General features: G+C 39.9%; 1 protein-coding gene and 1 pseudogene across 4 annotated transcripts in view, besides 3 other annotated features; one reads left to right on the forward strand and one right to left on the reverse strand.

Annotated features, from left to right (window-relative positions):
* Window positions 1-19,032, reverse strand: part of CHCHD3 (coiled-coil-helix-coiled-coil-helix domain containing 3) — a 297,221-nt gene extending 278,189 nt beyond the window's left edge. For all 4 annotated transcript variants that reach the window (NR_133671.2, NM_017812.4, NM_001317177.2 and 1 more), the window contains exons 1-2: window positions 18,799-19,032; window positions 7,084-7,171 (exon numbers count right to left, since the gene is read on the reverse strand). Coding sequence is in view for 3 of the 4 variants with exons in the window: in NM_017812.4 (NP_060282.1) it covers window positions 7,084-7,171; window positions 18,799-18,879 (169 nt within the window). In the remaining variant the exon portion in view is untranslated. The remainder of the gene's footprint in view (window positions 1-7,083; window positions 7,172-18,798) is intronic.
* Window positions 18,765-19,399: an enhancer, noted in NCBI's record as "H3K27ac hESC enhancer chr7:132766583-132767217 (GRCh37/hg19 assembly coordinates)". NCBI's record gives its function as "activates a minimal SCP1, AML or CMV promoter by ChIP-STARR-seq in naive H9 embryonic stem cells {active_cell/tissue: H9 hESC(naive)}" and the evidence as "EXISTENCE:reporter gene assay evidence [ECO:0000049][PMID:30033119]".
* Window positions 18,815-18,994: an enhancer, noted in NCBI's record as "active region_26682". NCBI's record gives its function as "activates an Ori minimal core promoter by ATAC-STARR-seq in GM12878 lymphoblastoid cells {active_cell/tissue: GM12878}" and the evidence as "EXISTENCE:reporter gene assay evidence [ECO:0000049][PMID:35858748]".
* Window positions 19,205-19,314: an enhancer, noted in NCBI's record as "active region_26683". NCBI's record gives its function as "activates an Ori minimal core promoter by ATAC-STARR-seq in GM12878 lymphoblastoid cells {active_cell/tissue: GM12878}" and the evidence as "EXISTENCE:reporter gene assay evidence [ECO:0000049][PMID:35858748]".
* RNU6-92P (RNA, U6 small nuclear 92, pseudogene) lies at window positions 19,771-19,874 on the forward strand (annotated as a pseudogene).

Genomic DNA, 23,273 nt, shown 5'->3' on the forward strand with positions numbered 1-23,273 from the left:
TCCCTTTTGACCATTCTAAAATACCACGGAATACAAAACACATTGCTAATGACAAGAAAGGAAGTTTTCTATGCCCTCCTCTCAATTTTAAAATAAAGTCAGCCTAAAGGTTTTCTGGATTCTCAAAAATAAATCCAACATAGAGATGAATCAAGTAGCACAGAGAAAAGGTGTCCTAGGCCTGGGGAGAAAAGGACTGAAGCGTGAGTCAAGGACTGTCACTACCCATCCATGGAGCAGTAGTTACCATATCCAGCCAAGCCCTCCTCTGCCCTGCCACTCTACCTAGACCAGGCAGCAGCTGACCTTCCTGATTGCTAGTTTCCAACTAACATCCTTTCTTTACCTTATCTTTCCAAGGATCCACTTGCTTCATTCACCTTCCCTGCTCAGAACTCATCTGTTACACCCTAGCCTGCCATGCTGTCTCACGCATTTGAGGGCAACTTTCTTTCTTTCTTTCTGCAATAGGGCCAATTACGGACAAACAAAAATGCTTATGGGGCTGCTTCTTTACTTAACTGAAGATGAAAATGGTTTTATTTAGTACTATGGTGGAAAATACATATTCTTACCACTCGGATTTGTTTATTGGATATAAAAATATCAATAAGAAAACCAGCACTATATCTTTACGAATAAAAATGTTACTAATATCTGGGTATATCTGAAGGCACAACTAATGTAACTTTCCAGACTTGCATCCTAAAATGAGATAGAACAGCTCTGAAGCTGCCCAGGCCCTATAGGATAGAATTAAACTCATTGACTTCAACCTACCCACCCATGAGACCCTACAAGAAACCTTTATCTGAATTAATCTGGTCTGTGTGCTAACTCTACCAGGATTACCTTCTACTCTAACCCCCCTCCCATCCCTCTTAGCCTCAAGTTTGGCTCAAGTTCACTTCCCCTGATGCCAGGCCTGCCTGCCAAAGCTCCTGACACTCTTTCTCTAAATTCCTAAAGCACTTTCCATACCTCTTATACATTCTATCTCACTCACATGTTGATTCACCTTCTCAAAAATATTAACAGAGGAGGCGACTAAACTAGTACTCATTCACTACACTGTAACATTAAATATGCTTTGACCAAACTAGTAATTCCTTGAAGGTCAAAGATGGCGGCCATGCTAACACTTGTTGACTGATGGAACCAACCATGAGTTCTTCAACCCTAGACTGTTGGCAGATTTCTTTTTCAGAGCAGAATATGCTGACTTAGAGAATTAGATTTAATGCCTTTAATTCAATAGCAATTAGGTTTCTTACTATTAGGAACAGTCAGGCAAATCAACCATTACAGCCCACAAAAAAAGTACACAGTTGAGACACTGGCATCCACAAAGTTTCACATATTAAAAGTTGGAAACCTAGATGTTCAGTTCTTGTAACTCGAGTCAAAGGAATAAGCTTATTTTCTCTGAACTCTCCCTACAGTGTTATGTCTAAATGAGCCTTAAAGAGCTGTTTAAAAATAACTAGGAGGGCCAGATTCTGGGAGAAAAATACACAGAACTTATACATGAATCTGTTTCCCAAAATTGGCTGTTTAGTTTAGGCTGTGTTATTTCCTGCTCAAATTGGTTTCCTGCAATTTGTTAAGGCTGCCAAATACTTAGTGATCTCAGTGATATACTTAACACAAACTGGCAAATCTTTCTTATTTTTCACAATGACGAGAAATTTACAGAGAAACTTCTACAGTGAGGATGATAATAAAAGTTAGGTCATTTGTCTTGTTTTTTTCCAGATTCATCATTTTTATCTGGTTGCCAGTAGCTTACGAAAACAACAAAACATCTCCTAATATCATTTCCTGTCTGTTTCTTCATATTGATTTGGGGACAGATTCTTCAGCGGTAGGTAGGGTCAACCATGAGAGGTCTGACCTCATTATAAGCCAGAAAAACTAAAAGATCAGGTTGAAAGGAAACAATCAGCACCCAAAATTGATTTTTTAAAATCAAAAGATGCAAGATGTTAATGAAAAGGTAAGTTTATAACTATATGCAATGACATCTCCTTATGTCAGCCTAAGAAAAAAATTATCTGGTATAAAAGCAAACCAATATAGTTGAGATAACGCAGCAAAAAAATTGAGGCAGCAAGGACACAGTTAAGTTATTGAGAGCACATTCATTTATTAAAGTGGCATTACAATCTGCTGTGTGTCACACAGTATATTATTTTGCCCAAACAGCTTTACATGCGAATACTTACTGCAACGAGCCACTGATCTGGTTCAAGGTTTAGCAAAAAAATTATATTTTTTATGAAAAAAAAGTTTCAGTAAAGTCTTCAGAGGAACCCACTTTCTTATAGTATAAAATGTATTCTCAAAACTATTTTTATGACAAAATTGAGTTCCTATATACAGAAATCCTAGGGCTCTCAGTTCATCAAATACACTGCCCTATATTCACACATATGAATAGCCTAGGGCTGGTATGACTAAGAGTCCTGTGAGAAAGAAGGCTTTTTAATAAATACTTAAAATTTAACTCACATTTAATATATAATTTACTTCACACTGAAAAATGTAAAAAAGGCGAGTGACATTTTTATCAATACATTTTTGTAGGCTTGAAAAATTATTTCATAACACATCTAAATTTTAAATCCTAAGAAATCTATTATTGAGTACTAACTAAAACTCCTAAATGAGACAAACTCAGAACAAAACATAAATGTTCAAGCTTCATGCTTTTATAAGCCTATTTTTTTAATTCTAAGAAGAATAAATCTTTGTTAATTTACACATAGTTGAATTGCATTCTTAACCTAAAGCAAGATCATTTCAAAATAGCATGCCAAATTTTAGTTCTTTTCTTGGGTTAGGTTGGAAAGGGTGAGAGAAATCATGTACTCAAAGAACCTGTCCTATGAGCCTTGTTGAGTCTTTTTCACATCATGGTGCAGATAGAAAATAAAAAGCACTGGTGTGTTCCAGATCAGAGCTATGCAACAGAACTGTCTGCAATAATAGAAATGCCCTATATCTACACTTTCCAATATGGTAGTCAAAAGCCACATGCGGTTACTGAGCATAAAATGTGAAGAGTGCAACTTCAGAGCTAAAGTTTTCATTTGATCGACTTAATTTTCACTTAACTTTTAAGAGCCACATGTGACTAGTGGCTACCATTTGGAAAGTGTAGTTCTAGCCTGACCACTAAAACACAAGATGGCATACTTTTTTTTTTTTTTTTGAGATGGAGTCTCACTCTGTTGCCCAGGCTGAAGTGCAGTGGCACAATCTCGGCTTACTGCAACTTCCGCCTCCCAGGTTCAATCGATTCTCATGCCTCAGTATCCTGAGTAGCTGGGATTACAGGCATGTGCCACCACGCCCAGCTATTTTTTGTATTTTTAGTAGAGATAGGGATTCACCATGTTAGGCAGGCTGGTCTCAAACTCCTGACCTCAGGTGATCCTCCCACCTCAGCCTCTCAAAGTGATGGGATTACAGGCATGAGCCACCAAGCCTGGCCCACAAGATGGCATTCTAAGAGCTTTCAGTGCCCAGGCTGGTCACAGCTGGTCATGGACCAAAGAGTTCATCAGTCATTTCAAATGGGGAGTGAGAAGGGATGGGTCCCTCAGCAAAGCCAGAACTCTTCACATCAGTGGCATGCTCTTCGGGCCAGACACACCACAGGCACTCATAGAAAACCTCCCGACCCATCCCCACTCTCTCGAAATATCAAAACAACCCAAGAGAGAAAACATTTTCTCTCCTTCCACTCAGGCCAATATGGGAAAAAGCTAGAACAACCAACAATTACTTATAGACAACGGGTTCTTTCCTTAGTTCAAGCAGAACATCACTAAAAAGCAGCTCCTTCATTCCAACTAGTTTCTATCACGTCCTTTCTAAAGCAAGATGTCATTCAAATTAAAATAAGACAAAGTGGTTAACAGCATTTGCTCTGGAGTCAGACAAACTTGAATGTAACTCTCATCTCCATTGCTCACCAGCTGTGTGACTTTGGGCAAAATAATTAATCACTTCAAGTCTCAGTTTCTTTCTACATAAAATGGGTTATCACAGGTCCTTCTTCATAGGGTTATAAGGATGAAATGAGATAAGACGTACACAGGATTTAGCAGAGTACCTACAATGTAATAAATTTTAAGTGTCATCTATCATTACTTCAGTATATTGAATCATCATGATCATCACGCTAACTCCGTAACACAGGAGGTAGGAAAAAAAATCTACCTACAACAAATCATACTTTAGAACAAATTCCAATTTTAAATGTATCCATATATCATCATTCTTTTTTTAACACCAAGAAAATGTTTTAATTAAACTACAGAAACAATGGTTATAGCACAGAATATTCATAAGCAAAAAGATACACGTCATAAGTACTTACAAAGTTACAAACCATTTGCTCCCTTAACATTTTCCGTATTTTAAGTTCATACATGTAGATAAGAACAGATTCACCATTTTGAGGAAGAGGAGGAAGCAAAGGTATATTTATCATCAGCTAGATGTGCTCACTGTATGCAGTGGTATTTATATGCAAGACCCGAGTGACTGGAAGTGCAGTTGTTGGGCATTTTAATAAACTGGACAGCCATTTGTTTCTGCACGACAAGGCATCTTCTTAAGCCAAAATATTTGATAAACTTATTTTCAGTATCTCCTAGGTTTCTTTTATACTATGTTTCTACCTCCCTTACAGTCTTGTTATATATGTAGTTTATCTGTCAAAAAAAACTTTTTCCTATTTTTGCATCTTTTCAAAATACCTGGCTTGGCCGGGCACGGTGGCTCACGCCTGTAATCCCAGCACTTTGGGAGGTCGAGGCGGGCGGATCACGAGGTCAGGAGATTTAGACCATCCTGGCTAACACGGTGAAACCCCGTCTCTACTAAAAATATAAAAAATTAGCCGGGCGTGGTGGTGGGAGCCTGTAGTCCCAGCTACTCAGGAGACTGAGGCAGGAGAATGGCATGAACCCAGGAGGCGGAGCTTGCAGTGAGCCAAGATCACGCCACTGCACTCCAGCCTGGGAGACAGCGAGACTCCATCTCAAAAGAAAAAAAAAAATAAAAACGTGGCTTATTTATTTACATAATAGAAACATTCAATATATGTCACCTGAATTAAATGTATAGAACTCTCCAGAATGAACAAAAGTAGCTACTTTTAAAATGGATAATGCCCTTAAATTAATTCAACAAACGATAATAAGCACTTACTAAGAAGCAGGTTACACTATCCTAGGAGCTAAGAATTCAGCTGTGAACAAACAAATGAGGAATAAGGTCCCTGGAGCTTCTCTTCTAGTGAAGATAGCAGTCACAGTGAATAAGTAGAGGAAAGGTGATAGGAGATGATGAATAATGTGATGATGTTGGAAGGCAGAGAGGGACCAGTCATGATATATGATGGAAGCCCAGGGAAGCAGCTCAGACTATATTCTGTGTACCATGGAGAGCCACCACTGGGACATGACTTGACCTGATTTGCTTTTCTTCAAAAGATTGTGAGGACTTCTGTGTGCACAGCACAGGGGGAAAGAGTGAAGCAGGGAGCCAGTTAAGAGACTTCCACAGAAGACGACAGTTATCTATCTGGATTGGAGATATAGCAGAGGAGACAGATGCAAAAGGAACATATTTAGACATGTTTTAGAGATGGAGTTGACAAGACTAGCTAACAGTCTGATGTAAGGTGTAAGGAAAAAAGAAAACAAGGATGAATCCCCAATTGGGGACCTGACTACCTGTGCCATTTAGTGGGAAAGACAGAGAAGAAAAGCAAGTCTGGGGGTGAAAATAAAGGTTGATTTGGGATATGTCAAGTTGAGGAATCTGTAAGGGGAGATTTTAAGTAGGCAGTTGTCTATTATAATGTCTGGAATTTCAGGGAAAGGTCAGGGCTAGAGATATAATTTTGGGAGTCACAGGCATCTAGATAACGATTTCAAAACCGTATATTGGGACAAGATTACTTAGTAGAAATCAACAAAGAACCCTGGACTGAGGGTTGCAAGTAGGGTGAAAGGAAAACCAAGAGTGTGGTCCAGAAGCCAAAACAAGGGTTTCTAACAAGGAAGGCATGCTCACTTTCTATCTAGCGTTAATTAACTGTGAATCCTCAACTCTCCTACTAAACAAGAAGCTTCAAAGGGGCAAGAAGTCATTCTTATTCATCTTGGTACCCTTTCCTCTAAACGTATCAGAAGCTCAATTCATGTTTACTGACTTAATGATTAGTAAGGGGCGGGGCGGGGGGGGTCACAATTGGCCCAAGTGAATGGCATTTGGGCAGGATCTCGTCTTTCTCAATTTCACAGTCTATAGCCAGATTTCCCCCTTTCTAATAAGTACAGGAAAATCTCACTTAGTCCAAAATTAATCATCCCAATTATTTTCTTGTTGCCATTTCACAATAAATAGCGTATCTATCCATCAACTGGGCAGTATCAAGAACAGTGCTGGACACATAGCTGGTGCTTAGTAAAATACTGGATAAACAGATGAGTGTGGCAGGAGAGAGAAAAGGGAGAAGAAACAGCATTAAGTCTCTTATCCAGCAGGACCTACAGATAAAATTAGGCTTAATAATTCTTTATGGATTTTATTTACCACCACATTTCCATCAATAACTAAGACTGACTGTGACAAACTAAACCTTTTATAAACTTAGAAGAAATTTATTAGAAAATAAAATCATTTGGAATACTTCACAATTTGAAAATAGCAAATCAATATTTTCTAAGTTCGATTTTTTAAATAAATATTTATTCCTAAATCTCTAATATCCCTATAAGCAATCCATTTTACACAAAAAGATATGAAGTAACTTTCCAAAGCCTAGTAGAGGATTCAAGAGTGGGAAGAGAAAACAAAATTTTCAAAGACTGTTTGAAAATAGTTTCATTCTTAGTACAAAACATTTTAAAAGAAACCCCAATACTGATTTCTAATATTCCTTATTAAAAGCTAAACATCTAAATAACGAAAGACAGAATGCTAGAGAACTTGACTATTGAGTCAACTTTTTCCACTTATAATTTATCTCCTAAAAACCCTAAAATTAAAATTCAGCAATACCTGAGGCACCATAAGCACCAGAATACCGCTGAGACTTCGAACCAGATGGAGAGGATTCCTTCATTCGATCAATCACATTTTCCGAAAGCTGGAAAAGCAACATCAAAATAAAATCAATTATAAAACAGCAAGATCAAAAACCAGTGCAATAACATCCAAGTAATTTAGTCATCCATATCCATACATATGACGAATGCCCTAAAGAAATTAGGTTAAATCTAACAGCCATAAAACCAGAAGGAAGAATAATTTTAAGATTTCGAGATGCACCCCACAGCACTACTCCTTTATTTTTTCTAATGCACTGCTAATTGTTCATTATAAATAACTACACTCTTCATTTTATACTATGCACAAAATTGTAATCTCTGGGGAAATGTATGCTATATAAACTTCAACTTTCCTCCCCTAATCCTACACACTTATTCATGCATTAATGGGCCTTAGCTCCTTCCCTCCCTCTAGTCCCGAAGGAAAGTGTTCCTTCCCTCTCCCCTCCCTCCCTCCCTCCTGTTCAAAGCTAACCACATACAATCGCTCTTTCAACAGATTTCATGATGGATCAACTATGTGCCAGAAACTAGGCTAGACTCTGAGTATTCAAAATTATCAAGTGCTTAAAGCATAACAGAATAAACAACCATCAGGCATTTAAATACAACATGAAGAGTGCTACCTGAGTGAGTCAGCATGTAATGCAAGTATACAGAAAACACAATGGGCAGCACATGTAGCCAGGCTTTGAAGGCAGGGCTGGAACAGAGGATTAGGGAAGATTTACAAGGTAAGGAGGAGTAAAAGATAGGAAGAGATGCAGTAGGATGAAAGTGCTCCTGGGTGAGAAAAATCACATTAAAGTACAGATGAAAACCAGAATTTGCCACCGTTAGACATCCAAGTGGAGATATCAAGTAGGCAGCTGGCAATAGAGCAGAGGCTCTGAGGAACACACAGCCTTGCGGATTTGAGAGTCATCATTCCCACAGTTACTATCGCGTCATCCTTTTTTATTTTCTTTACAGCACTTAACCACTACCTGAGACTTGCTTGTTTACCATCTGCCTTTCACTAGAAAGAAAGCTCCCTGAAAGCAAGGATTTGGCTGTCCTATCGCTATACTCCCAGAGCCTCACTAAGCCTAGTTAATTCAATGAATGAATGTTAAATGAATGAATGAAACAACATGAATAAATGGCTGAAGCAAGAAAATAGAGAGAGGGCATAGTGAAAGAGAAGGTGGGGAGGGAAGGTAGAGATTCCAAATTTTGAAGATTCTTAGTGAACTCTTCAATTGAAACAGTTTGAACTTGACCCTGAGGGTACCTGAGCACTACTGAAGGATTTTAAGCAGGGGAATGGCACGATCAGATTTACACTTTAGGAAAATCACTCTGGCTACAATGTAGAGAACAGATTGGAGGGGGACAAGAACAGAAGCAGGATCCCTGAAGGAGGCTAAAGGACCAATTAAGAAGCTATTAAGCATATGTCCACACAAAGACTTGCACAGGAATGTTCATAGCAGCATTATTCATAAGAGCAAGGGTGGAAACAAACACATGTCTATCTACGGTGAATGGATAAACAAAATCTTACATATCCATACAACACTATACAACTCAGCAATAAAGAGCAGTGAAGTTATGACATGTGCTACCGTACAGATAGACCTAAAAATCATTAAGCTAAGTGAAAGAAGCAAACACAAGGGCCACATATTGAATGATTCTATTTATATGAAACACCCAGAAAAAGCATCCCTATAGAGTAGATTAAGTAGTTGCCTAGAGCTGGGGTGGGAATAGGGATTAACTGTAAACAGGCACAAGAGATCTTATTGGGGTGATAAAAATATTCTAAAATTGCATTGTAGTGATGTTTGCACAACTCAGTAAATTCATCAAGTGTTGAATTGCTACTCGGGAGGCTGAGGAGGGAGGATCACTTGAGCCCAGGAGGTCAAGGCTGCAATGAGCCATGATCATGCCACTGTGCTCCAGCTTGGGCAACAGAGCAAGACCCTATCTAGAAAAAAAAAAAAAAAGTGTTGGAATGTAAACTTAAAATGGATGAATTTCATGGCATGTAAATTACTCTACAACAATTTACTTTAATAAACTTTAAAAAAAAAAAGCTATTATGGTAATCCAGGGGAGAACACACTTAAAAGGTATTTAGGATTTAAAATACTAACATTCACTGAGTGCTTATTATGTGCCAGGCGCTACACTAAGCTAGGCACTTCACTTATTTACTCCTTCACAGGCCTATGAGATAGATACTTTTGTATCTCTATTTTATAGGTGAAAAAACTGAAGCATAGCCGGATTAAATAACTGGCCCTGGATCAGATACTTTATCAGTAGCAGAGGAAGGATTCAAACCCAAAAAGTCTGAGTCTCAAGATCCCACTCAAGGCCAGGCATGGTGGCTCGCATCTGTAATCCCTGCACTTTAGGAGGCCGAGGTGGGCGGATCACGAGGTCAGGAGATCGAGACCATCCTGGCTAACATGGTGAAACCCCATCTCTACTAAAAATACAAAAAATTAGCTGGGCGTGGTGGCGGGCGCCTGTAGTCCCAGCTACTCAGGAGGCTGAGGCAGGAGAATGGCGTGAACCCGGGAGGCAGAGCTTGCAGTGAGATCGCGCCACAGCCTGGGCAACAGAGTGAGACTCCGTCTCAAAAAAAAAAAAAAAAGATCCCACTCAAACATCCCTCAGCATCACTACCCAGTATCTGAGTAGATGTGGGAGTAAAGCAGAAGTCATCAAGGAAGACCCCAGGATTTCCATTTCAAGTAACTGAGTGATCCTCCTCCTGTATCAAGGGTCTCCTTCCCATTTCCACTTCCTGAACTCACCACTCTCTGGCTTTTACCCTCAGTGCAACAGTGAACATTCTCTGGTAGAAGTCACCAATGACCAAATAAATAACTTTTGATATTTATGTAAATAAATATTTTATATTTATAAAATGCCTTATTTATATGGCTTCCCTTTAGCATCTAACACCTCTGGCCACTCCCGTCTTCTGGAAAGCCCTCCCTTGGCTTTTCTGACATCCTGCTGTCCTGGTTCTCCTAGGACTCTGGCCACATTTTATCTCTTTTGCAGCTTCCCCTCTCCTGCCTGCACTTCAATGCTGAAGGGCCCTTCTCATTCTATGTGCCCTTGTACTGGCACTCTCATCCAATCTCTTGATTTCTAACTGTTGTTGATAAACTAATAAATTCCATTAATAAATGCATTCACTCGAGCTTAAGACCTATCTCTCAGAAGCCCGGTCTCCACACTGAAGTGCCTAATGAACACCTTCCTTCTGGCAAACCAGAAGCACCTCACACCCAAAGTGTCCAAAATTGATCTCACGTTTGCCGCATATCTCCTCTTTCTCCTGCCTTCCTTACCTCATTAATGACACCACCAACACCCAGCTTCCTAAATTCAAACATAGGGCTTGTTCTTAACTCTTCTTTCTCTCTCATTCTTAGCTCTGACTTCATCAATCCCTAAATATTTAATGAATTCCTCTCTTCTCTCATCCCATTTCTCCTGCCCTAATTCCTGTACCATCCGCTTAAAATGCAAATGTGATAATGGTAACTCCCTACTTCAAATTCTTCAATAGCTACTGTCTGTTTACAGAAAAATTCAAATTCTTTGTACAGCATTCAAGACTTCATCATTTGGTGATGGCCTAACTCTCCAACCTCAAATTCTACAGTTTTTTTCCTTAATATTACATATCCTGTTCTACGTCCATCTCCTTGCCTTTACACACGCCTACATTGCCCTCTCTCCTGTACCATTGGGAGGGAGTCACCTTTCAAGACGCAGTCTAAACATCCAAGCCTTCACTGACCAAAACAGTTGTCCACTCCATTCCAACCCTGCCTACCTAAAGCTACCATTCCTTGTGCCTGCTGTTCCTTTCTCAAACTTCCAATACAGTCTCAATGAAAGAACAGGAATTAGCCTTTCCACATTCACCTTTCTGCCTTTCCACTAGATTGCAAGCTCCTATATATTAAGTCATTCATTCAACAAATGTCTCCCAGGCCAGGCACTAATCAAGGCCCTGTGATACATCAGTGAACTAAATAGTCTATACCTCAACTGTTACTTGTATCTCAGGGCCCAAACCAGAATGGAAATAAGATGGAAAAGGGAAAGGCTACAGATCAAATGCTGTGTGTGCTCTTTGAAGGAAAAAACTACGACTCCCTTCTTGGAAGACAAGAAGACTTTCTATTTGAAAATGCCAGAGCCAGCTGCATCCTTCTAACAACTGACAGCCACTGGGAATGTTGCTGAAACCCATCTGAGAAACTGAGAAACTGAGACACATCCTAGAAAAATCCCCGTAAGACTGACTCAATTTATACTTGAGAAAAAAAAGAGACCCTGAGTAATATTCAGTTACTGGCAGCATCAAGACCAGAAGCAGTAATTCCCCAATCTCTAGTCCAATGCTCTACTTTTAATAACACACCCCTTCAATCCCATGCATGTAATAAAAATATCACTTCCTCTTAAAGAGGAAAAAATAAGCTTACATTTTTAGAATCTTAAAGCTATTTTAACTGATATATAATATATATAAATCTCAAAAATCAAGTGTTAGCTATAAGCTTTCATCTGAAAAGTTACTATTTTCATCTGAAAAAAATGAAAATAATGTTTACCCCAGAGATTCTGTGGAGGGATTTTAGTGTTTTGCACCATAAACTACAATTGGCTACACAAATATTTGGTAAAGCTATTACCCATATAGCTCCAACCACAGGGACTTTTTAATTCATTTTGGTTCATTTTTATCAACTGGGTCTGAGCTTGTACTGACTCGTTCTCTGTAAGGTGCATGAGGACCAGGCCTGCAGCTATTGCAAGCAGCAGCTGCCTAAGTCCTGGTATGGGTATAGAAGGTGCTTATTTTTCTCTATCTATGCTCTCTAGGTAGTAGGAGTAGAATGTCTCTTTCAACCTAATCACTAATTTCTTGTTAACTTTTTTTTCTTTTTGAGGCCTCTCTGATGTCCCAAGTTGCTACTTAATGTCAAATTCTCACATCAATTCAAAACATTTCCCAGTGGGATGTTTGGTTATAGTTCAGTAAACTTGTAAGCATGCACCAAAGGAGTATATACTAAACCTATTGAAGGCTTGATAAACATATTGTACGGCTGCCTTATTGAGACTCCACCTTTCTCTTGTTCTTACAATCATTCAACAACTGTATCCTTAGGCCCTTCCAAAGCAGCACCCATGGCCATCTACTGTTGCACCTCTGCCAACTCCAAGCACTATTACCCTATTCCCAGTCTGCTCATAGCGACGTAGATATGAGGTAATAGTTTTGTTGTGTTATCATCTGTATCCAAAGTTAATGCTCTCTGAGCTGACCTTCCCATTGCAGTAGTAAGTTCAGACCTGCACACTCACCTGATCTCCTCTGTGAACAGGGGTACTCACTCGTGAAGCAGCTGACAAGCTTTAGAGATGCTGGCCAGGATTATACACGCAATCTGTAGCTGCAGAACAACTCATCTTTCTGATAAAAAATGACCCAAAATGGGGGTCGATAGTACAACACAAGCTTCTGCGATGGCAGCCTCTGTGTAAGAAGTATCTTGCGGTCAGGTGTGGTGGCTCACGCCTATAATCCCAGCACTTTGGGAGGCCAAGGCAGGCAGATCATGAGGTCAGAAGATCAAGGCCATCCTGGCTAACACGGTGAAACCCCATCTCTACTAAAAATATAAAAAATTAGCCAGGTATGGTGGTGGGTGCCTGTAGTCCCAGCTACTTGGGAAGCTGAAGTAGGAAAATCGCTTGAACCCAGAAGGTGGAGGTTGCAATGAGCCGAGATCGCACCACTGCACTCCAGCATGGGCAAGAGAATGAGATTCTATCTCAAAAAAAAAAAAAAAAAAAAAAAAAGTATCTTCTTCAGGAAACATATCTTTTCCTGAACCGGGCACTTGTTTAAGCAAAGCCTTTTCCTGTACAATGACCTATACCTATTATACTTGCTTTCCAGACATCTCTGGAATCTGCATCAAGGCAAATACCAAGGGCAATTTACAGAAATTATTTGTAGCAAAGAATAGTGAAATAATCCCCACACACATTGATACTGGGAATTACACCCTGAGGTCCACAGACTGAGTAGTCCGTGGGTCAATTACTCAACTGTATGCAAAACTGTCTGCTTATTGCATGGTTCTGGCCAGAATCCACAGCTTACAGATCCACAGTGCTCTATGAACTAAAAGAGCCACCATTCTAATATAAGGGGCAATCAAAAGAAGCAGGTCTGCCGATATTCAGCCCACTGAACTTGACTGTCCACCCTATTCTCTATTGCTCCTAAAGACAAATTTAAGCAAACAGAGCTTGCCAAGTTTAAATTTGTGGTACTCACCACACCAATGTGCTCCACAGAGGGGGAAAGGCCATGTGTCATCTCCTACAGTCTTCCCACTCATCTCTTCCTACCCACCTTGTTTGGTCTTATCCAAAATCCGTGCCAGAAACACTACCCACCAATCCAAAAGAAAGAATTTTCTCAGAAACAGGAGACTGGGTGAGTTGGACAAAGAGAAAGTATTTCTACTCCCAGGTAACAGAGTAAAAAAAGAGGAATTCTTCAGTGGCCCTTCTAAGAGGTAAAGTTATGAGCCACATGAGACAAATAAATCAGCCTCCTGCCTCCATTAGTTTATCTTATCTTCTTCCAGATGTGTCCTAGCAAATTGATTCAAGAACTCAGACCCATTTTTTCTCTCTTGATCCTCCTTCCACTTAGCATAGGTCATTTTCTGTGTGAGTATTAGTTTGCTTCACAATTACCTTTTTAAGACATAGGCTCCAAAAACTGCCATTATTATTTGGGAGAAATTACTCCCAAATAGTTAGTTAAGAGAAAGGGGGAGAGGGAACCCATATATATGTTGATAGATATATATGAAATATGTAATGCTTAGCTTATGTCTGTGTTTCTTTACATTTGTCATTAGTAGAAACCATTATCCCTACCTTTATAAAATCCTAGATAACTTAAGATGGTAGCCAAAAACTTCATAGAATCTAAAGCTGAAAGAAACTAATCATCCACTACTTAACTAAATTTGCACAACATTCCTCAACACTCCCAAGGGCTGACCGAATTTGTAGTCTCTGATAACATACTCTCTTCAGAATCCTCAGTAATACCGCATATTAAGTAATCTCTTCATTTACGGTCTCTCAACTGCCAACACTTCCCAAAGCATGAGTTACGTTCCATATTAAGTATCCATACTGCCATAACTGGCTCCTGTGAATTTCAGCTTGCAACTTTAAAGCCCAGCTGCGGACATTCGTTTATGTCTGGAAAGCATGATAAATATATCTTTGAAAATGATACTCATTGAAGTTGACATTTGCTCCAGAAGAGTTCACTCACAGCTTTGATGTTTCAGATAAACTTGCGAAAGATAGAGTTGTAAGCACACTTTCCAAGCAGGCACAGCAGGTGCTCACAAAAATCCTATCAACCACATGTAATATGAGTAATGAAAATGCTTGGTCTTTCCTCTCTAGGAATTTATTTTAGCCTTGAGAAGAGGGCAAGGCAAAAGAGTGACCTCTCATCCAATCCATAAGAGTAGTTTCAGATTCAAAGTTGGAATCAGGTGTAAAAATATAGGTTACTTTTACAGAAGAGGGAAGAAAAGCTATCAGTTGCTAAGGATAAAGGGAAAAAACAAGACCCTACAATACCATGAAAAATAACACCTGGTAGGTGAGAAGAAATTTTAAACTTAAAATTTGAAGTAGGTCCTTTCATTGCTATTAAGGACCTCAACAATATAGAGAAACACAATCTATTAATAAATTCAGCCAGGTGTGGAGGCTCACACCTGTAATCCCAGCACTTTGGGAGGCTGAGGTGGGTAGATCACTTGAGGTCAGGAGTTTGAGACCAGCCTGGCCAACATGGTGAAACCCCCCTCTACTAAACATACAAAAAAGTTAGCAGGGCATGGTGGCACAGGCCTATAATCCTGGCTACTCAGGAGGCTGAAGCAGGAGAATCACTTGAACCTGGGAGGCAGAGGTTGCAGCAAGCTGAGATCATGCCACTGCCCTCCAGCCTGGGTGACAGAGCAAGACTCGTCTCAAATAAATAAATAAATATTCAGCATAGTTACCAAAAGCCTTATGTTGTTCACTAAATGTTATTCTTTATACATTAAGATAAATGATGACTGAGCCTGGTGGAGCGGCACATGCCCGTAGTCCCAGAGGCTGGGGCAGGAGGATAGCTTGAGCCCAGGAGTTGAGACCAGCTTGGGCAACACAGGGAGACTCCAACTCAAAAAAACCTCATAATTGCCAACATATTTATATTAAGGGAATGAACCCAAGTCATTATATGAAAAAAATAAAGGAAGATGAAATTATAGATGCTCCTTGGTTTACAACGGATTTTGCTGAAGGTAATGCCAGAAGCTGAGTTTACTGAACGCTTGTCACTTCCACACCACTGTCAAAAAATCCTAAGTCGAACCATCCTAACAGGAGACCGTCTGTACTATCTTTAACAGTGTAACAGAACACAGAATTAGCTTTCCAGCAGTGACTGCCTCTGTTGAATTAGTAAGCTTGGTAAACTTTCATTTCTTACAACCAATGACATAAATGCTAGACAACTGGTCAAAGTTGGAACGTTTTCTTCAGCCAAGCTGAACTAACCTAACTGCAGTTCAAAACTGAAGTTTGGTGCCTCATCGGCACCATGTTCTAACAAACTAAGCTAAAAACAATGGCTTATGGACATACTGAGAATGCGGTTTCTTATCCTTCCCCATGTCTCAGAAGGGAACAAAGTGACTATTTAAAGCCAAGAAAAATATAAAGAAATAAAAACCATCTACAACAGACCTAGACAAAAAAACACCCTCAATTAGGGCAGAATGTAAGACTCCCATTTCCCAGTCCATACCCTTTTAGGTACACCTGTTGGGGCACAACATGCTCTTATTTTTATTAAAATTTGAAGTTCACTTAAGTTCACATATCCATTCTTTTGAACAGCTCTAATAACAGCTATTATTCACAAGTGCAAACACTGTCAAAGTACAAGACACTGTGCTAGATATACATTATGTCAAATTCTCAAAGTAGGCTTTGTCCAGAAATACTAAATACGGAAACACAATGAAAAGTGACTTGTCCAGAGCGACACCGCTAGTGAGAGGCAGAGATAGAATCCAACCCAGGTCTGCTTGGTTCCAAGGCACATGCTCTTTCCACTACACAGCACAGCACTTTCAAAGAATCTTAAAACTTTGCATGTGAAAGGAACCCTATCATAATAATGGCTGCCTTTTTAATGAAAATCTACAATGTGCCAGGTGCTTTACATACCTTACCTCATCTTCTTACAATAACCAATCAAGGGAAGTGATGGTATTACCGTTTATGGATAAGGAAATAAAAGAAGTCAATTGTCAAAGGCCACAGGCTAATAAATAACTAACCTGCGATTTAAACTGATGTCTGCTTAATTCAAGCCAAGAAAAATACTAAGATCAACTGAAAAACATCTACAAAAGACCCAGACAAAAATCACACAGGCAATCAGGTTAAGTAATAAATATCTAACCTGAGATTTAAACTGAGGTCTGTTTAATTTCAAGTTGATACTCTTTTGATCATGAGCTCAAAGAAATCAGAATGACCTCTGTGTACTCAATACTTCAATGGATGTCACTTCTAGAGGAAACTGCAATGGGCTAAGTATGGCTACAAGAAACTTACAGTGCCACCAGACTCACAGGATTTCAGGACTGGAAAATATTAGAGATCTGAGGGATGTACTCAGTTGCATTATTTTGCAGATGGGAAAACTGAAGCTCAGAGAGATTGCAAAACATTCATGTAAAAGGAGGATTTGAAGCAATGGAGACCAGCGCAAGGGCATTCCAGGTGAAGGGTATATTCTGAAGAAAAGCATAGAGGTAAAAATGATCATGCTTGAACTGTTAGCAATACAGGTAAAATGTACTATATAAGAAAGGAAAAAAATGAGGAATGCTGTCAAGTTATATGACCAAAGGACATTTCTTTTTAAAAAACAAAAATCTTAAAAAGGTTTTTTAGACAATTTTTCCATTTTAATAGAATACCTATCCCTGCTGTCACAGTTATTCCATCCAACCTTATCTAATACTTGATATGAATCTCTGTGCTGTGGCCACATTCTCTTTCGATTTTGTTTGCTGTTAGCACTGTGTCTGTACTAAAGCACGAGAATATGGATTTATACATTTTTTTCTAACCAATGTCTTCTCACTCAAAACTTATTTTGCTTTGTCTTTTAATTATTTTTCACTCTGAGTTGCGTACTGAAAGCCTAATGGCAAGAGTCTTAAAATCTCTGCATAAAACTTAAAGTTTACAGTAATTTTTTACTCCAAAGAGTACTAACTGAAACACAATAACTCAAAGAATACAGCCTCAGATATTTTATTACAAAATGTAGTACTACCATTAATTAGCATGATATAAAGAAATACTGGTCACAGACCAAAAACTGAGTTCGACAGTCTGAGTTTCTATGAAGAAAAGTTTAATAAATTATTCTCAAGGTAACAGTTTCAGAAGAAAAAGTTTTTAAACATTTTAAATATTTAAGAAGTTTTATTTCCTGGTAACAACTGTTAAAAATAATTTACAAATGTAATTTATTTACGCTGGTTGATAACAGAAAAAAATATATAAATTATTATAAAACTTTCTGAAGTCAAAATTGCTTTATTTACTAGGTTCAGGCATCATACGTCCAAAAATGTGAGGCTCCAAATTCAGGCGCAGCGGAGAGTGTGTTAATGAAGTTAGTGCTGGTATACTGACACCCTAGAGAAAAACCAGGTTTTCAGTTTATGTATCAGGTGCATGCAAAGGGCATTAAAAAAAAAGTGCTCTACAACGTTGGTCAGAAATGACTACATTACTTCTACTGGTATGAAAAACTGCAAACCCATCTCAGCCCCTATCAGACTGGCAGACACTAGTCCTGAAGCAACTGGGCCTAATCCAAAACTTCGGCGCAGCAGGTCACAGAGGAGGCGCCTGGGAAAGAGGAGATATCAAGTGAAAGTGAAGCAGGGAGAAGCCAGAAGCCGCCCCAGGCAGGTCAGAAAAGACTGTGGGGCTGGGAGGGAGGATGACAGGGTGTGGGGAGTGGGTGGGAGGAGGGGGTGTTATCAGAGGGAGAGCACTAAATGACACAAAGCAAAGGCAATCCTTAAAATGCCAATTCACCCTGGGAGACAGGGTGTGCACAGTGGAAAAGCAGGGTTTGGGTCCTGAACCCAGGAAAACCATTTCACAGACAAGTACACCGAGGTATGGGTTTCAAATACGGTCCTGCAACAAGGGAGCAGTACAGTTACGAGTAGACTGTGAGCCCTTGCAGGGTATAATTCAACCTGGCATTCCCCGCCCGCCCCAGCAGTGCCTAGCACTTGGCACAACCAGGAACTATCTCTGAATGAATGTCCCACGTCTTGAAACTCTAGGCTTCTTCCCAGACACCTGGGCTTCTGGCCTTAATACGCTAGGGTCCAGGACGGGAGAAACCCAGGCTGAGCGGGTCCGGAGAAGATGGGGCCTTGGGGTCCGAGTCCAACCACTGGCCCTCCGCCCGTCCACGGGCACTCACCCGGATGCCCTTCACCACGGTGATGTTCTCATTCTCGTCCGCCTCGAAGGTGACCCGGCGGGTGCTGGTGGTCCCACCCATGATTCCGGTTCCTGCCCCAGCGGAGACCTAGCGGGGAACCACGAGCACTTCGGGGCCCCCGCACCCACACGCGCGTGGAAGGGCCTGGATTCTTTTCCCGCACAGCGGGAGCAAGGCCACGACCCCCAGAAGCAAGGAGAAGGCGCCGGTCCTGAGCTCCCGCCTCCTCCGGTCACGCGCCACAACAAAAACGCCTCAGGTTGGTCGGCGATGCGAACTGCCCGCCTCTGTTCGGCGAGGGCGCCCGGATTGGTTCACCCGACCCGGATGCTATGGCAACAGGTGGTGTTTGATAGCTTTCCGCGGAGTCCCTGGGTGTAGTGGGAACTGTGGTCTCGATCTGGCGCGGTGGGTGATGGGACATTCTCTCCCCGCGCCTGAGCGCGCTAAGGGAGCACGGCATTCTGGGAGTTGTGGTTTTGACTCCCCAGAGACGCCTAACTGGGCAACTTTTTGAAGACATAATTCTAGAAATTTAGGCCACTAAGTTCAGAGACACAATCTTTCTCTCAAAGGGACTCACAGTTTAATGAAAAAGATGCATGATACTAATGAAGCCATTCCTAGTGTTCTATACACAAATTCCTGGCTCAAAACTTAGCGTTTCATTACAGTCGTAGGGTAGCTTAATGAAGACTACTTCTGAGAAATGCCTCGTTAGGTGACCCTGTGATATCTGTGGTTGTGCAAACATCATAGAGTGTACTTACACAAACCCAGATGGTGTAGCCTACTACACACCTGGGCTACTTGGTGTAACCTATTGCTCCCAGGCTGCAAAGATGTACAGCATGTCACTGTACTAAATACTGTAGGCAATTGTAACACAGTGGTATTTGTGTGTACAAATATATGTAAACATAGAAAAGCTACAGCAAAAACAGTGTAAAAGTGATTGCTTTGGCAACACATCTAGGACAATTTGAACAATACAGAGATTAGCACAGCCCCTGAGCAAGGTTGACACATGAATTTCTGAAGCATTCCATTAAAAAAAAAATCAAAGATAAAAAATGGTATGCTTCTATAGGGCACTTACCATGAATGGAGCTTACAGGACTGGAAGTTGCCCTGAGTGAGTCAGTGAGTGAGTGGGGAGTTGAATGTGAAGGCCTGGGACGCAACTATGCAGTACTGTACCTTTTATCAACACTGTGCACTTAGGCAACACTAAATTTATTTTCATATATTTTCATTCTTCAAGAATAAATTGACCTTAGCTTACTGTAACTTTTTAAACTTATAAACTTCTTTTTTTGTGACTTTTTGACTCTTTAATAACACTTAGCTTAAAACACAAACACACTATATAGCTGTACAAAAATATTTCTTTCTTTATATACTTAGTCTATAAGCTTTTTCTATTTTTGAAATTATTTACTTTTTACTTTTTAAACATTTTTGTTAAAAATTAAGACAAACACACACACATTAGCCTAGACCTACACGGGGTCAGGATCATCAATATCACTGTCTTCCACCTTCACATCTTGTCCCACTGAAAGGTCTTCAGAGGCAATAACACGTATGGAGCTATCTCCTATGATAACAGCACCTTCTGTAACACCTCCTGAAGGACCTGCCTGAGGCTGTTTTACAGTTAACTTTTTTATATAGGTAGAAAGAATGCACTTTAACCTAAAGATAAAAAGCATAGTATAGTAAATACTAGGAGACAGGAATTTTCCAGCTCCATTATAATCTTATGATTCCACTGCCAGAAATGAGGTTCTTCTTTGACTGAAACACTGTTATGCAGTACATGAATGGTGGCATTTTAGTAGTAGCCATAAAATAAAAAAATAAAAAACGTAAACGTGTGTTTGGTCCATGTCTCTTGTCTCATGAACTAGTATCTGTATTTTTTTCTTTTTGTAAAGTAAAATTTTAAGTACTATGGTTTTCAAACCTGTCTATGAGAAAATACATTTCTTCATAGAATAAATTATTTGCACCAAGTATGTAGAGAATTTACTTTCCACTTTTGTGTCTCCTTCTACTACTAGTTCAGTTACATAAGTTAGGCCATAATAGGGTTAGGCAGAGAAAAGTTAAGTGATTGCCAAAGATGGCATAAATTAGTGGAGGAATTAAAACTACATCAGAAAAGTTGAGATGATCTATTGTGGAAAGTTCCTATTAATAGTTCAACATTTCACCTCTACGAGACCAGTACATAGTTATTAGGTTATTCATCTACATATTTCTTTTTTGCTAAACACACTGTTACACATAAGTTTAGCCATATGACCTTAGTTTTACAGAGGCAGATGATTCTCAATAGAAATTAGGTTAATGATGGTACTATTCTTCAATTAATCCCTCTCAACATTAAAAGCAGCAGGCCACAACACACCATGGCATTCTCTTATGCCAAAGGCATCTACAATGCAGTCGCATTTTTGAGCTTCAATTATGTGCTGATCTATTACTGTATGAATCCAATTATGTGCTGATCTATTACTGTATGTATCTTTTATTTTTCTGAGACAGAGTCTCGCTCTGTCGCCAGGCTGGAGTTCAGTGGCGCAATCTTGGCTCACTGCAACCTCCGCCTCCCAGGTTCAAGCAATTCTCCTGCCTCAGCCTCCGGAGTAGCTGGGACTACAGGTGCGTGTCACCACACCCAGCTAATTTTTTTGTATTTTTAGTAGAGATGGGGTTTCACCATGTTGGCCAGGATGGTCTCCATCTCCTGACCTCATGATCCTCCCACCTCAGCCTCCCAAAGTGCTGGGATTATAGGCGTGAGCCACCGCTCCCAACCTTACTGTATGAATCTTTAGAGCAGAAACTATGTCTTTTTAATCTCTATATCCCTGGTCAGTAGCAGAGTGTTGATTACATCTCATCATTATATTCTTTTAAAATTGTACTATGTTACTTTGCAGTTATGAGACTACGTGCTACTTTGTACTTGTTCTCAAGTTTCCTTCTTTTTTCTTTTTTTTTTTTTGAGAGAGAGAGGGTCTTGCTTTGTTGCCTAGGCTAGAATGCAGTGGCCCAATCACGACTCACTGCAGCCCCAACCTCCCAGGTTCAAGCAATCCCTCCCAGTTCAGCCTCCCCAGTAGCTGTGACTACAGGTGTGTGCCACCACACCTAGCTGTGGTCTCACTATGCTGCCCAGGCTGGTCTCAAACTCCTGAGCTCAAGCAACCTTTCTGCCTTAGCCTCCCAAAGTGCTGGGATTACAGGCATGAGCCACCATGCCCAGCCTAACTCTTTCTTCTACTGGGAACTAAAGCTCCAAGGAATTATGACTTTCATTTTTTGGGGACCCTCCCCTCCACAAACACACTCTCACTTATTACCCCAATATATAGGGCATATCGGAGGTTCTATATAACACACATGCTCAACAAGCACTTACGAAAATAACCAAGTACAAAGAAAGCGTTCCTTGGAGAGAATAGAGAGATGAAGAAACCACTAGTTGTCTTAAATATATATATATATATCTCCAGTTAGAATATTAAGTAGAGTTCTTTCAACCAAATATATTAAAGATGATGAATGCCAAGCATGAGAAGGTAGTGGAGTGCCTTCATGTTTTATGATTCAAACACATATAAGTGGTCTAATCAAACAGACAATCCAAAAATGTTTTAGACATCCTAATGCATTTTAACCAACATTACAAAGATGCCTTCTGAGTTTAAAAAAAATTCAATGTATTCTTTAAAACAAAATGCCTTCTCTAACAATACTGTTCTATCCATGTCAATTTCTAGGCCAGTCATGCCTATACAATCCCTTCTTGAGCTACCCAGAACTTGTGGCCTCCCTTTCTTTCTGGCTACAGCTTATTAATAGTCATCTAATCCAAAGGCAGCATTTACTAGCCAGACACCTATGAGCTAGAATGCAAAGCTTTGCCCTAAGAAAAATAATAGCTAATACTTCAGCTACTCAGATTCTCCATGTTTTTCTCCGTTTTCTGTATCTCTGTATTCACTTTCTCAAATTTAAACTTGAAAATTCAGAGCATACAAAAAGATAGCAAGAAGAGAAGTTATAACACTGAGTCTGTACCATGAAGAATCATGGCAAACTAAAGATAGGTGGAATAAGAAACTGCAAGAAAAATAAAAGGCATCCAGACTGGAAAGGAAGAAGTAAAACTACCTCTATTCGAAGATAACATGATCTTACAAATAGAAAAATCTTACAGAATCCACTGCAAAACTAATTAGAACTAATAAAAAAACTCAGCAAGTTTGCAGGATACAAGATCAACATATAAAAATCAATTGTAGCCGGGCGCTGTGGCTCACACCTGTAATCTCAGCACTTTGGGAGGCCAAGTCGGGCAGATCACCTGAGGTCAGGAGTTTGAGACCAGCCTGGCCAACATAGTGAAACCCCGCCTCTACTAAAAATACAAGAATTAG

This window comes from Homo sapiens, chromosome 7, assembly GCF_000001405.40.
Source record: "Homo sapiens chromosome 7, GRCh38.p14 Primary Assembly".
In the NCBI taxonomy this organism is placed as follows: Eukaryota; Metazoa; Chordata; class Mammalia; order Primates; family Hominidae; genus Homo; species Homo sapiens.